The 15,720-nt window shown below is 56.3% G+C and overlaps 1 protein-coding gene across 36 annotated transcripts in view; it reads right to left on the reverse strand.

Annotated features, from left to right (window-relative positions):
* The window catches only part of RBFOX3 (RNA binding fox-1 homolog 3), a 576,227-nt gene that overhangs the window by 512,250 nt on the left and 48,257 nt on the right, over positions 1–15,720 (reverse strand). For 27 of the 36 annotated variants that reach the window (NM_001385842.1, XM_047435405.1, NM_001350453.2 and 24 more), the window contains exon 1: positions 9,232–9,457. The exons of 5 other annotated variants lie outside the window; for them this stretch is intronic. The gene's annotated coding sequence lies outside the window, so the exon portion shown is untranslated. Of the gene's footprint in view, positions 1–2,166; positions 2,281–6,923; positions 7,020–7,476; positions 7,568–9,231; positions 9,458–15,720 lie in introns of those variants that run through there. 4 more of the 36 variants (NM_001385840.1, NM_001385809.1, NM_001385831.1 and 1 more) reach the window with 3 other exon arrangements.

Here is a 15,720-nt window from a genome sequence, read left to right on the forward strand (position 1 = left end):
CTTGGGGGCTGAAATTTTCCTAGTCTGGTCTTGTGAGTTTTCTTCTTAGGTTTTAAGCAAAACATATCCGGAAGGGGGAGAAATTACTTCTCCCAAAGTCAGTCTCCTTGGTGACTTCTGCCAAGGAAAGAACCCCATGGGAAGGGGGCGGGCTGTGTCTTTAGCATGTAGATACTGATACTGTTATCAGTGATCTGGCCTTAGTTGTGCCCGTCTGTTCTGGAGAGACGGCTCTATTTTAAAAGTCCAAGAGGCGGGGAGGTACCCATGCGACACTCATCTTGCATGCTGCAGCCTGGGCAAGTCAGGAAAGTGAATGCTGGTTATGGCAATGCTGCCGACGCACACACACAAGCAGACGTATTTTCCAACACAAAGTGCAGATCTGCAGAAAGTCTCCTGTCTGTGGCCTGGGGATGCCGATAGAGTTAAAAGCATGCAGATTCTAGGTGTATCCTTCTCAGCTGTCCTAGATGAGATCTGCCGGTGAGAAAGAAAAATGTACCCGCTGGAAGACGGCCTTTAATCATCCTATAAAGTTGTCCCAGACAACGTCACAAGGCTTTAATGGTAAGGAAAAGGGTAACAGGCTCCCCCATCAAACACAGGCCATCGTCCACCTGCTCTCCCTCCCGCCCTTTGGCCATCAGCTGAAGGTTCCCAGCTGTCAAGATATCAAACAGACTTCTGGACGATAAAGCTCGACACAGCGTTGGCTGTCTGGGAGTGTTGATTATAATGTTACGCCACTGACAACAGTAATTCTCACCTTAAATTTCTTCTCTTTTCTGCTAAGATTCCAAAATACTTGAATAATGTACCCTTGGATAGCACCCCTGCGAGGAACACAACCAACCACTGTCGGTCTTCTCCCCAGCAGCTGGGGGCACGCAGCCAGGATGGCCGGTGAACCACACGCCCCGTCCCAGGTCTATAAGGAGCCTGTGGAAGCAACCCCTCGGGTCTCTAGTTCCACTTCACCTGTCCCTGCCGTGAGGCCCCCAGCTGTGCCTAATGGCATGACATCAATGATAGTCAATACTCCAGAAAGAATAAAAGCACACACTTTGTTTTTTTTTTCTAATGGGCTTTGCAAAGCTGTGCTTCGGTTTTTCATGGGTTGAGAACTGAGATCCAAAAACATATATCCACACGGAAGGCAGGGGTGAGCTGGAATCCCTCAGCCTGCGCGGTAAGCGATGTGGCAGCAAACTATAGGCTCAGAGGAGCCCGGGAAGGGCTGGGGGAGGGAGGCCATGATCCTGCTTCCTTTCCTCTCCCTCATGGGAAATCCAACTGGCATGGTCTGGAGCCTCATCTCTGATGATCCAATGCCACTCCCTTTGCAAAAGCAAGAGGACCTGCTGCAGTGCCCCTCTCTCCTTGAGCTACCCTTTTTTTTTTTTTTTTTTTTTAGGGGGAGTCTTGCTCTGTTGCCCAGACTGGAGTGCAGCGGTATGATCTTGGCTCACTGCAACCTCCACCTCCCAGGTTCAAGTGATTCTCCTGCCTCAGCCTCCTGAGTAGCTGGGATTATAGGCGTGCACCATCATACCCAGCGAATTTTTTGTACTTTTAGTATAGATGGGGTTTCACCATGTTGACCAGGCTGGTGTTGAGCTCCTGACCTCAGGTGATTCCCTGCCTCGGCCTCCCAAAGTGCTGGGATTACAGGCGTGAGACACCCTGCCCTGGCCTCCTTGTGGTACTCTTGACACCCCGCTGGCAGTGGAGGCATGGGGAGAGCACACCGGGCCCATTGAGGGGACACAGCACAGGCAGGAGCCCTGTTATCCCCTGGATGGCCTGACCCGGGTAACAACTGAGTCCACGGCCCCACAGACAGGACCTTACTTCTTTCTGCCTGGCTTCGGGGTGTTCCTAAGGACATGAGCTGCTGGGGGCTGCTCCAGGGAGCCCTTCCAGGCCACCCAAGGGAGTGAGGGTCCCCTCAGACCCCAACCTCTCTATAGAGACATGCTAAGGGTTGTTTCCATCCTTACATCTGCAAGTTTATCTTTTAAAGCGAGCTCTATTAAAGCAGCCTCATAATTATACCCACAGGGAACAGTTTGGAATCCATTCCTTAACCCTGACCCTTCCGAACCCTAGCAACATGCTCGTTCCTCTACTAGGTGGATAGCCCCAGGGAAGGGTCCCACTCACCACATCAGCGGCTTTACATAGATCGCCTGATCCACGCAGCAGTCCCTGCTTCTCAGCAGGGTAAACTGAGGTTCCAGAGCCTGCCCTGGGTGGCAAGGCTGGGAAGGGTGCACGCCCTCCCCAGCGGTATGCTGCAGGCAACCCTGCCACCATCAGAGGTCAGCTCCGGCCTCAGGCTGTCCCTGCACAGAGCCCGCCCACCAGCCAGCAGGTGCAGGCCGAATCCACTCACCACACCCACAGGTTGTGCGGCCGGCCCTGATGGGCTTTAAGAGCTCATGAAAGGTAACTGACATACCGCCTTGCTCAGAAGTCACTTCCATTTCAATGTGCATGTAACTGTGTGTGCCCACGGGCAAAGGGTGATTCTTGTAAGAATCAGCTGATGGGAGTGGGGAGCTGCCAAGATGTACAACCTCAGAACCTCCCATGAATAAGGAAACTAACTGAGTGAAGACTCAGCCACACCTCCAGGGTGAAGGGCAGGTGTCAACACCAAGTCATTAGGCTTTGCAGAGCCCATCAGGAGCCTGTGCATGGACCCAGTTTAAAGCATATTCTGGGTTTCCTTTTTTTGCTCGGATCTCAAGGTGACGGGTAATGTCGGGACATACCGGTGTGTGCGGCTCTCCCAGGTGATACATTAAAAAGTCATCCTCACACCTCGCTGCTGAAAACAAAAAGCTACAAAGCCCTTCTTGCCATTGCTTTTTAAAAAGTGGGGTGGGCTGGGGTGGGGTGGGGAAGAAGAGGTCACCAGCAGGTGCTTGATTCCAAGGTGCCCAGAAGCTCTTAGGAACAGACCCTGGAGCTTCAGCCAGCCCCCAGCCCTCAAAAGTTCCAGAAAAATAGGAGTTGTTTTTGATGTAATCCAGGAGAGAAACCTCTAATTTGCATTAAGAGTTTGGAGCTATGAAAGTTTAGTGAGAAATGATTTCTAAAGGTACCAGGGTGTTTGTACTTGCTTTAAATCTTTCTCCAAATTGTGGACCTTCCTAATACAAGGAAACCCTATGTCCTTTGGCTCCAAAAGAGGTTCCCATTTTTCCATCAAAAATCTCATTGCTGAGGATAGCCTGCTCCTCCATGTTCTCATGACCGTTGCCTAAAAGCAAACGATCCGGAGACATGAGCCTGGCCCAGGAATCGGCATTTGCTTGGTGTCCAAGGATGTGAACTGCAGGATGAGAGCAAGGGCAGGAGAAGCACCTGGACTCCAGGGACACCATTCCTGCCATCTTCATCCCTGGGTCTCACCTGGTGTCATAGACAAGGAGACGTGGATGAGAAGGACTGCAGTCCATGGTGTTCGGGCTGCTCAAGGGCAGAACTCTGAATGCGCCCTTGGTTTGCGTGGCACACTGCCTCCACTACTGTATTGGTGGCCCTGCAGAAGAGAATCTGATCTGGAGGTCCGGGTTACCTTTGTTTGTTTGTTTTGATGGAGGGAGAATTTTGGAGCAAGACAAGATGCCTTGGCACACAGGATTCTCCGCTCTGGCACAAAAGATACATGTTATGATCTCAACTGGGCCCCCAAACAAGGACTTGAAACTGTTCAGGGGCTGGCTGGTGGCAGCTTTCTATGCTCAGGCAGTTTCCTTGCCTGCAAATGGGATTATTTTCTAAAAGGGCTAAAATAGACATACCCGGCCACCTTCCTCGCCAGCTGGCTTCCACTCACAGCCCAGCGTTCAAGGCAGGGTGGGCTCACCTCCCCAAATATGGAGCAGCCAGCCACGCAGAGACCTGCGCATACAGAGCTGATGACCAGCGGTGGGTCCAGTAGGGAGACGGCCAGGTACAGAGCGGTTGCTCCGCCTAGGCCTCTGTTCTTCTGGAGTCTTGGGAGAAAGCTCTCAGCACAGCCGCTAACCAAAGCAATAAGCAAGTAAATTCCTGCTAAAAATACATATATTCTTCCTCTTTCTTTTTTCTGCTGGGAATATGTTCTGAGCACAAATAATTAAACCTTAAAAGAAAACTTGCAGTAGCAAGTGCTTGGCTCTTGGTCCTAAGAGGAAACCACGGAGGCTGAGGACCCCCAACTCAAGTTGACGCCAGCAAGTTACAACCCACCTCTCAGGTGGAACCCACGAGCCCTGGCCCCAACCTACACGGAAGGAGTGGAGACGGATCCAAGGGAAGACTGATTTTCACTTCTAAAAAGCTTCCCCAAGCCGCAGCTTTCTCTACCCACAAGGGGAACACTCCCCACAGAGGAGAGCACCCCATCCCTTGTTCTTCTGCCCCCTATCCCCTGACTGCAGAGCCTTCGATACCACAGTCTTGTCAATGTTTCGAGTGCAGTGAGTTGGCAGGGGCAGCAGCAGTGAGAAGGGAGAGGAGGGGCAAGGAGACCACCTCAAGCTGCTGGTCTGTCTAGAGACCAGGAAGAAACCAGAAGGACGCCTGGGCCTGACCAGAACAGTCAAGGCCCCCACGTGTCTTACAGGTAAGGGCCAGGATCAGAGGCCTGATGACACCAAGCTCCCTGCACCCAAGAGGTGGCCTTTGCTTTGGGAGAAAACATACTTGTCCACTTAGCACTTGTAATTTCTATAGGAGTCCTATCACACAGTGGAGCACATCCCTAGGCCCCTAAATTAAAGATGGTGGATGGTCCTTTCCCAGGCCAAGAGGGGGACTCCCGTGGTACCCGGGCAAGACGCATCCAGAATGACTCCTTCCACCTAGACCCTGGCCACACTTTTCAAAATGCAACTGATAGACTGAGCTCGCCCCGAGCTACAAATAAACTAACAGACTTTATACTCTTTATTATTCCAGCCTCCCTCTAAGGCGTGTTTTGGTGTCAGTCTATGTGTTGGAGAAACTGTGATAGCAAACTAATTTACTAAGTGCATTGCACTTAAAAATGTCTATTTTATACACCAAATCAGTCTGTGTCACGTGGTATTTCTTGAAGGGAGGTGACTCGTCTGTCTGTGGGTCCCCAACCCAGAACAGGCCCCGCCGGGTATGCACAGCATATGTATGTGTGCAATGCTCCTTGCATGCCCGCCATGCAACTGTTAACCAAGAGCCGTCCTCAACCCTCACAGGTCACACAAGGAGGCAATCACACACTAAGCATCCGCGCCACTCAGAAAGCACAGGAGGAAAAAAGAGTTGGGGAGAGGAAGAGATAGACGGACAGGGAGACAGGGAGATAGACCCAGGACGTTATAGAGGACAGGGATGGCTCAGGGAGCAACCTTCTTCAGAGAGGCAGCAGAAAGTAAGATGTTGAGGCTGCCTGAATGTTTCATGAGCCTGTGAAAATACCGCGCTGCTTTATGAAAGAGCGTGGAGAGATGCTGCAGCTTATCAAAGGGTGGAGGTACAAACGGGATGTGTTTATAAAGCCGGTGCCTTGTGCCAGGAGCAGGGGCCTGTGGCAGGCAGGGATTTAGGGAATGGTAGGTTCCCTACCAACCAACAAACGGGTCTCTGTTGAAGGGGGAGAAAGTTTCAAGATGGCTTCTTCCCCTTCACTTGTTTAAAAATAAAAAATTCCTCACCAAATGTCAGCTGCGTGTCAGGTTCCATTTGTCTTTATAACAGAGTATCAAGCAGGAGCGTGGAAATAAATAAACACAGGGAGACAACCGACCAAAACTTGCAGGCTCTGGGCTGGGCTGGGCTAGAGGAGGGAAGCCCCACCCTGCAAGGGCTGAAAAATAATATTGCAGTTTCGCGTTCAGCACTGTGGCTCTGGCCCACTGACATGTTTTCCTCTCTTTACTGCCCCCCACCCCCTACCACCACCACTCTGGCGCTTCTGGGAGGGATAGGAGCGTGACTTATGCATTCCTTCCTTCCGAATTGCACAGGCATCATGGGTCAGAACACCATCTGCGTATATGGGGGAGGGGGCAGATAAACCAAGCAGGGCCCCTGCCCTCAGCAGCAAGGCACCTCCAACTGCCACACATCGGTATGAAGGCGCCTTAGGCCAGGGCTGAATGTGGCTGGGAGAGAGGTGTCAAAGAAGGCTGCAGGGGAGAGGCAACAGGGCTGAACCAGCCAGGGAAGATGGCATTTTCTCTGGCCACTACAGTGTCTAGTTCATCCCTAGACACCAAAGAGCCCGATAATCTCTCCATTTCACCGATGCGCCATCAGCCACGCTCCAAGTTGAGTAAGTGACAGGCGCAGGACAGAAGGCCCACTCTGGAATGGTACCCAGGAGGCCTCCTTGCTGTAATTACCTCTTCGCAGGCCCTGGGCTTTTCTGGCTCTTGAATGAGCCTCGGGAGCCCTCCCCATGTCCTCAGCAGCCTGAGGGCGGCCGCCCGCAGCGCCTCCAGCGGCCCTGGGACCGTGTCAGAGGAGGGAGGGCGAGGAGGGCAGGCTGTGGAGGCCCCGGCCCTGTCCTTGGTGCTGGCGCCCGCTGAGTGCCTGCTGAGCCACTCAGAGGCAGGGGCCGCCCATGCCGCCACCTTCCCTCGACATCCGCCTCTGGTCCCTGCGGAAGGGCAGTGAATACTCCCAGCCCCGCTGTGGCTCCCAACCGAGGTCACTGGGTGCGGAGCATTTGCCGCAAAGGCCCATCCGAGTAAGGGGCGGAGCCTAGGGACTTCCCTGGACTCCTGGCTCCTCCTGGCACCCAGAGGCGACCCGAGGTCCCCGGGGTGGGCACGGGTCTCTCTAGGCCCCAGGCCCCTGAGGAAGGTGGATCAAAGCAATCACCCAGGTTCCCTTTTTTCTTTGGGGGGAGGAGGGTGGATAGCTGCTAGAAATGGACAACTCACCCCAGAAAACCCCGGCCGTGCAAGCGCAAACAGCCCAGCACCAGTGGCAACCCCTGCCGCACGCACGCAGCCACCTCGCCAGGCCCAGGCTGTCTCGGCTTGGGTGCGTCCCTTCAACCGTGCTTCTTGCTCCTTAACCCCTTCAGTGGTCCCCACGTCACCCGCTCTGTCTCCCTCCTGGGGACAGCCTTGCCCTCCCAGAAGCTGTCAGCCAGGAAATGAAGGGTTAAGCGTTGCTTCCAGGAGTGTGCGGTGAGCGGTGAGCGAGGCGCCCACGCAGGAAGGCCTCCAGTCCTGGGGGAGGGGCGGGGGGGCCAGCCTCGGTCCTCGGCCAAAGGGAGCTCCTCGCCCGCAGGAGGCGGAGAAGGAAGGCGCGCCGGGATGGTTCTAAGAAGGCTCCCCTCCTCCGCCCCCGCCATGCCGCCCCCACGCCCCCACCCCGCCGGCGCTCAGTGACCTGGGGCGCCCCTGCAAGAGGCCCATACCCGGCTTTCATCAGGCAGCGCCTTCTCGACAACTTTTCTCCCTCTCTCCCCTCACAATTTTTGCTCACCTGGAGGGTCGGTTTTTAATTAGTGTAATATCCCCGTGAACAACGCAGCCTAATTAAGACATCCGTCCCGAATCCGCGATGCACACTTAATGAGCAGGTTCTGCCGCAATGTTTATACTTTTTTTTTCCATTATGTTTTGCAGACCAGTAAAACCGAAGCCGGCTTCCGGCTGAAAGACCTCATTACGGGCGACCCCACTCCATTAGCCTCCTACCTGCTCCACGCTAAGTGCCCGGGGCGCCCGGGTGCATGCCCAAGGCGTCCCCGAGTCCAACCTGCGTTTGGAGCAGGAAATTAGCAACCTGCGCGCCCGAGAAGCGACTTCACCACCAGCTGGGGCAGGAAGGGGGACTTAAACCCAGGGATGGATCCCTTGGGTCTCTGTCCTTAGCCTCCACCGTGGGGTGTCTCGCGCGTCGGGACTAGCGGCTCCGCGGGACTCCTTTTTAAAAGTGATCATTAAATAAATCAGGTACCTCGCCAAAGCTGGAACGGAAAGGGGAGGGGGAGGCAGCTCTGTTGTCCAGGAGTTTCTCCCCACCTCGCTGGGCCCCCGCCCCCACCAGTGGACTCCGGGAACATCCCACCCCCACCCTACGTGATACCAGGGATCCCAGGGCCGCTTGGGGACCCGACAGGTTCCCAATGCCCCTCCACGCGGGGCGCCGCGTCTCGGTCCCCGCACCGACACTGCAGGGCTGCGCGCCAGGGGAGGCTCCGCGTCCCGGGGAGGGAGGCTGCGACCCCCAGCACCAAAATGACCACTGGCCTCGCGCCACCCCGAGACGCCACAGAAGACCACCTTCCCGAGCGTGCGAGCCCAACACGCCCCGGGCGAGCCCCACCACCGCCCGGGGCCACCAGGGCAGAAAGTTTGGGCCAGGGGCGTGCCCGGCTTTCCCAGCCCGGCCGCGCTGCTCGAGGCCCTGGGGGTGGCCGAGGCTTCAGAGAGGCAGCCTCTGCTCCCGTTCCAGCCTTCCTATCGTGCTTGGGGACTCGGCCCGGAGCGCCCCCAGCCCGCCCCCTGTAGGGCCCTGCGCGCCGCTCGCCCCTCGCTGCTCGGCCCCCGCGCACACCGCGGTGCTGCGGGCCCCGCTCCTATTTGGGGAGCTGTGGCAGCCCCTTCCTCCCCACAACTCCTTTGGGTCATCAACCTCTCAGCGACCCTCCTTTCAGAGGACCCCGGCAGGGCTCTCTCCGGGCCTGGGTGCCGCGACAGACGCACGTTGCACCACCGCCGGGTCGCCAGCCTCTCTCCCACCCGCGCGGGCTCCGGCTGCCTGCTCGGACGCGCCCCGCGGGGCCGGGATCTCCGCGCGCCTCTGCCTCCCCCCGCCGGGGAGTTCCCCGCGCCGGGCATTGTGCCGCCGCCGCCGCCGCCACAGCCACCACCACCGCCACCGCCACCGCCACTGCCACCGCCACGCAGCGCGCGGGACTCCCTGGCGTCTCCATGGAGCCCGACCCCCGGGCCTTCCCATTCACAAAATCGCCCCTCTGGCCCACGGCCGGACAGAGCGTCCAGACCCCAGCCCCGGAGGGACCCAGGGACCCCGACCCCGCGCAGGGACCCCTGACCCCGAGGGCGCCACCCCACCCCACGCGCCCTCGGGTCAGCCCCGGCCGCGCTCAGCAGCCCGCCTCCCACTGCGGGGTCCCATGCGCCCCTCCGCGGCCATGTCCCCCTCCCCCAGCTCAGCCCGATGGGAATGACCGCCGCAGAGCGAGGCGGGCGACGAGGCCAGGCTACTCACGGGCTCAGCGCTCCCCGCGGCAGGTGACTGGGGGCCGGCGGCCATGCCCCGGCTGCATCCCGGCCGCCGAGCGGGCAGCGGCGTCCTGGGGCCGCACAGGCACCGGCGAGCCAGCGGCAAGGGGCGCGCGAGGCCGGGCTCGGGCGGCAGCTGTGGCAGCTGCTTCTCCTCCGACCACGCGAGCTGCTGGGGCCCGGCTGGGGCCGCTGTCCGAGGAGGTTCTGCTGGCTTCGGAGCAGCCCCGCGCTCGCTCTTCCCTCGCCTCCTCTCTCTCTCTCTCTCCTCCCTCCTCTCTCCGCCCTCCTTCTCTCTCTCTCTCTCTCTCTCTCTCTCTCTCTCTCTCTCTCTCCGCCCTCCTTCTCTCTCTCTCTCTCTCTCTCTCTCTCTCGTTCCTCTGGCTCGTTCGGCTGGAGCGAGGCGGCAGCAGGAGCACGCGGCGGCGGCGCGGGCGGCGGTGGCAGCTCGAGCGGAGCGCGCAGCGCGCGGCATGGGAGGGGGCTCTGGCTGTCGCGCGGCCGGGGAGGGCGGCGGAGCGGGGAGAGCCATGACCGGGTGGGCTTCGGCGGTCAGCACCCTGCAGCCTTCAGCGCCAACTCCTCGGGGCAGGGGCACAGAAGAGGTGGGGTACACACGGAAGATCCCAGAACCCAGTGCTGCCCTGGTCCCTTCAAGGGCAGCCCCAAGCCCGCTGCCCCTCCCCACCTCCAAGCTATCTTGGGGGCGGATCAACCCAGGTGACCCTTAACAGGACCCCTGCCCTTGTGCCTCGCTGTCCCTGGGGGCCATTTTTCTTTGCCAGGCCCAGGGATCCCCAGCAATGGGACGTGGTCACCAAGCATCAGGGACGAATGCCACCCCACCCCGCATGCCATGCCATGCCTTTGAGTTGCCCACATACCCCAAACCCCCTCACTAGGCCCAGGTGCCCTGACTTCCTGGAGGACCACTGGAAAGGAAGGGATCGGGCCCACTCCGTGCTGTTAGTCCAGATTGGCCAACCCAACCCATTTAAACATTTCCACCTGTGCCTGGCTGGAGAGGAAGGACTGTGGGAGGTCAGCTTAGGATTTCCCTAAAATCAAAAGATCAGGTAGCTCCTGTCCCCAGTCCCAGCCTCCCCCAGCATCTAGAGTAAGGGGCCTGGTGTGAGTTCTGGGAGGGTCTCTATCCTTGGTGCAGAGGGAGCAGGAGAGCAGAGGCTGAGGACACAGTGGAGTGGGGACCCTCTGGAAAGGCAGGAGAGATCTATTGCTGGGGTCAGCCCACCACTGGCACACAACACCAGAAGTGGGCAAGAAGGTCTGGACGGTCCCAAACAGGTTTAGGCAGGAGGCTGAGTAATCATTTCCAAAACAAAAGACATTCTGGTGCAGCAACCAGGCTGGAGAAACGAGCCTGCACCATCGAAGGACATTTCCAAATTACACACAAACAGATCCAAACCCGTCCCCATGTCACTTTTGCTCCTGAAGGCTGCTCCTGGAACAATTAGCCTCCTCCTCGCACCTGACTGTCCTGCTTTTCTGTGTGAGGTGAAAAGCACATCATGGAATCTGGGGTTTGGTAGGGGCCTGGAAGACCCAGAGGCCAGGAAGAGGGGAGTATGGATTTGGAGCTTCTCGGTAGTAGGGGCTCTGGGCTGCTGGCTGCCCCCCCTGCAGGGCAGCAGAGACGGTGGCCAAGACAGTGGCCGCTGCCCACTTATGAGCGTCATGCTTTTAATTTCTGGCCCTCCAGCCCGTCTGGGTCATTGATCTGTCTTGGCCGGTGGGAATCGTGTTATACAATTCCAAGCATACAGCTAAACAGCCCCACAGCTAACCACCAGATAAATGCCGTGTCTACGAGCAAGGCAGCCGCCTGGTTGACTGAACTTTCCCCTGCCACCGGATTTGAAATGGCGCATTCCAGCTCTAAAGCCCTAATTGGGCCTCTTGGTTCTCTGCTGTCAGATGGTCCAGGCTTTCGTGGCCTCCAACTCCCGGCTGGGCCCAGCCACTGCCTGGCAGGCACCTGTCTCCCTGCAGGCAGGGCTCTTGCCTCGCTGTGCCGGCAGTGCCCCCTGTCGGTCCCGCTTGTCCCTTGCCCACATTTCTTCTCCCTGGGGAGCCTTTTCCTCTCTGGTCCAGACCCTACTGCCCTTTGGAGCCTCCTCGCAGAAACCTCTCGAAGAGTGGGATTCGAGCCCATCTCCGTCTCCCTTCAGCTCCCCATGCGAGTTCTGCATGTGCCTGTGAAGTGGGGACACATTGACCTGGCAGAGCTGTGTGCCCGAGTGGAAGAGGGGTCCCTGCAAAGCATAGGGCCCGGTAAATCATTCCTTGGGGACGTTCTGGAAGAGCTCTCTGAAGACAGCACCAAATCTTGTTCCAAGTTCCACCAGTCCCAGCCCAGGACTCAGGACACGGTGGGCCTGCTCAGACGCCCGGGTGGTAAACTGAAATTGGCCTCTGTGGTTGGGACTGGCCACAGGGCCTGCGCGTGAGGACACCCCTTGGGAACAGGCCCCAGCCAGGCCGGCCTCATTACCAGCCCCAGAGAGTTTGCCCTTCGTGCTCAGCTGTCGTAGACAGGGATCTGGCCGGAAGAGAGTAAGTGTCAGGGCCAGCAGGACATACCAGCACTAACCGGGAGATTTTCCATTTGGGGACGTCATCTAAGAGAATTTTTAAAACCTCTGATTTGGAAACTTTAATTTTTAAAAAGTGAGCACATGGGGAGGACTGGGGAGTCCTTGGTAATAATCATTAGGAGAGAAACACAGGGAGACTGGGCTTGGGGCCAACAGGACGACTGAAGGCACAGAGCTAATTTCGTGCCCTCTGAAAAATCCCACTAAAACTACAAAGAGAAAATTTTAAAAAGGGGCTGGGCATGGTGGCTCAAGCCTGTAATCCCAGCACTTTGGGAGGCTGAGGTGGGTGGATCACCTGAGGTCAGGAGTTCGAGACCAGCCTGGCCAACATGGTGAAACGCCGTCTCTACTAAAAATAGCAAAACTAGCCAGGTGTGGTTGTGGGTGCCTGTAATCCCAATTACTTGGGAGGCTGAGGCAGGAGAATCACTTGAATCCGGGAGGTGGAGGTTGCAGAGAGCCGAGATCGCGCCACTGTACTACTCCAGCCTGGACAACAAGAGTGAGACTTCCATCTCAAATAAGAATAACTTTAAAAAGGCATAAACCCCAACGACCTGGAGAATAGGAGAAAAGAGAACAGTAGCCGGCTGTGGGCAGCGGGGAGGCACAGGAGAAGTGGCGGCCCGCCCTCACGGAGCTGAGTCTCGGCCCAGAGGCAGGGAAGGCTGACAATGGAATCCCCCGAAGGCTCAGAAGGCGTGGGGCCCAAGACCCGGGGAAGCCTGGAGATCCTCGGATAGCCCCTCTGGAGGTTTATTCCCTGAGGACACTGAAGCAGCCTCTGTGGCCTGGGGGCCGCCAGACACTGCGGACAGAGGGGCGTCCTGCACGGAGAGCCCCCCTTTTCCCTCACGGCACCTGTCAGCATCCTGACCTCCACCCTCCTGGCAGGAGGCCGGAAGAATCTCCTCTGGGGAATCTCACCAGCACCCAGAGGGGAAACCTGAAGATAGAGCTTTGCTGCTTCCAAGCACAGGCCCCACTCCCTGCTCGGAGCTGCCAACCAGCTTTGCAGCCCCCCTAAGGTGAGTAAAAAGCCAAGGATGACCAGACACCTGCGGAAAGCCTTCATGAGAAGGAGCCGCCAAAACACGCAACAGAGCGGGGCCGACTTCGAGGAAACAGATATTAGGCAGGGAGGAGAAAACATCAGAAATAGCAGTATTTAATATCCTCCCAGAGATCAGAGGAGATACCGCATCCATGAACCAAGAGCAGGGTGCTATTTTAAGGAGAACATTTAGAGAACAAAAAAGCTGGGAAGTTAAAAGCATGAGAGCAGAAACAAAACATCTCAACAGACAGGCTGGAAGAGAAAAGTAAGGGAATGCCCCAGAAGGCAAAGCAAAAAGGCAAAGAGGAGAAAAAGAAGAAAGAGGGGATGAAAAAAAACTAGATGATCAATTCACGAGGCTCAACACAAAAGGAATTCTAACCCCGACCCCCATAGGGCCCCCAGAGAGAAGGAGGAGGAGGAGAAGAAAGGAAATCATCAATTACTTAAGAATTTTTTTCCAGAAATAAGTTTCCAAATTGTCCACAAAATCGATGGAAATGATTCATATCAAGGCACATTATCTTGAAAAGTAAATCACTGAAGAAAAAAAAAAAATGTTTCCCCAAGTTTCCAGGTGCCATAAAAAAGAGCAGGAACGAGAATAGCTCCAGAATTCTCAACACAAAGAGGGCAGCTAACCAATCACAAAGCGTGCCTTCAAAAGCTGATGGCAAGTGATTTCTGGCCTGGAATCCCTTACTTCACAAAATTAACAATCAAACGTGAGATTAAAACAAAGACATTTGCACATGCGAGATCTCGACAAAATTATTTCCCACACACCATCTCTCAGCTACCAGAGGACGTGCTCTAACAAAACAAGGGTGTAAAGCATGAAAGAGGGCAATGAGGGATGGAAGAAACAGAGGATCTAGTAAGCGGGCAGGGATCCACATAGTGGGAGAGGAGGGAGGGCAGGAGGGCAGCTGTGTACCGGGCAAGAGGTTGCCAGTCCAGATGAGAGCAGGGTGGTGGCATGTCCAGCTGCCTAGGGCTCAGACATGTAGAGGGCTGTCACTACCAAGATGCCTCCTGCCATTGTACCACCCTTTCAGTGCCAGGTGAGCCTGGCCCCTGCTCCCCTCTGTGCCCGGCCGGCTCGGGCCGTGTTGCAGTGGAGTGCCTGTTTTCCTTTCCACGCACTGCCACCTGTGTAAGCTGAAGACCCTCATTTCGCCCCATGGAAGCATTTACTTTGATCTACTCTTAGCATCAGGAGGTGGCCACAGGGAACAAAGAAACAGAAAACACACATCAGCCCACCAACCTGCAAGAAGCCCCAGCCAAGGAGGCCCTTGGTTCCCCAGGACCCCTCATGCCTTGCCCAAGAACTCCCTAAAAGAGGCTCTTGTAAAGCGTGGGGCAGCTGCGGTTCCAGAGTTTCACATTGTCTTCTCCCAGGCTCCTCCGTCTAAGGGTAGCAGACCCAAATCATCACAGACAGAAAGGACATCATGGCCCCACTTTCATATTCAGCACTGGACACATCCACAGATAGAAAGGAGGTGAAGATGCAACTGTAGAAGGATCGAGGAAAGCAAGAGATCAGGGGCCTGCTTTTTCCTTGCTGGTCTTTGACGTTCTTGTGAGGTCCACAGATGGCCAGCACCGACGGCCCGTTGGAGAGCTGATGTCACCGCCATTGGCTGCCTTGCTTGCTTTCTCAGTCCAACAGAGTAAATTATAAGGTTACTCTATGTAGTCGTAACCTCCTTGTTAAGAATGGATCTCTCGGCCGGGCACGGTGGCTCACACCTGTATTCCTAGCACTTTGGGAGGCCGAGGCAGGTGGACCACCTGAGGTCAGGAGCTCAAGACCAGCCTGGCCAACATGGCGAAACCCCCTCTCTACTAAAAATACAAAAATTAGCCGGGCGAAGTGGAGGGCACCTATAATCCCAGCTACTCAGGAGGCTGAGGCAGGAGAGTCACTTGAACCCGGGAGGTGGAGATTGCAGTGAGCCAAGATCACACCACTGCACTCCGGCTTGGGCGACAGAGCAAGACTCCATCTCAAGAAAAAAAAAAAAAAGAATGGATCTCTCTGTCTCTCTCTATACAAACACACACACACACACACACACACACGTGTTACTACTTCCCCACTACTGCCAGGCCTGCTACCGCTGTTGTATGTGTCGGATCTCCCCTTCAGGCCACCATCCAAGCACGCTGTGGGACCCTGTGCAGTCCTGCATCAATAAATACCACTTAGGGAGAGCCCCACACGACCTGAGGGAATGTATGATCAAAACGCCCCACTACTGTTTCACGAAACACGCGGGGCAGATGTGCAAACATTTATACTGTGTGGGCTCTCAGGGGTTGTGCACCTGTCCGGGCTCCATGGAATGTAGGTCACAAGGAGACCTTGGAGGTCAGAGACGCCAACCAGCTAACTTAAATGAAGACGTCACAGGGCCGGGCTGTGCTCTGTCCCATAGCTGGAAGAGAGGTGTTCGGCCCTCACACACCCAGCCTCAGCCTCAGCTGTGTCCGCCGGCTGGCTCTCCGCTCTTCACTTCAGTCCCAAGGTTTATCATCCCTCTTTCTCCTGACCCTTTTTTCCTGGCAGATGGTGGCACAGTTTCACCTTGAAGCTAGAGCCTTCAGTGGGAGCAGCTTTCTCCCTGCACGCCTCCTTCTAGTTTCATCTTGTCTTCCTGCTCCCTTTCAAATTCTTCTTCCGTTTTCTCCCTCCATCCAGCCCTCTCTTGCTCTATCCTCTTCTGTCTTTCCTGCTCTGGGGATGGGGGGGTCTTAGCCTACCAGCCTAAAAACCTTATCTGGTCTT

The sequence above is a fragment of the Homo sapiens genome, chromosome 17, assembly GCF_000001405.40.
Source record: "Homo sapiens chromosome 17, GRCh38.p14 Primary Assembly".
Taxonomy (NCBI): domain Eukaryota; kingdom Metazoa; phylum Chordata; class Mammalia; order Primates; family Hominidae; genus Homo; species Homo sapiens.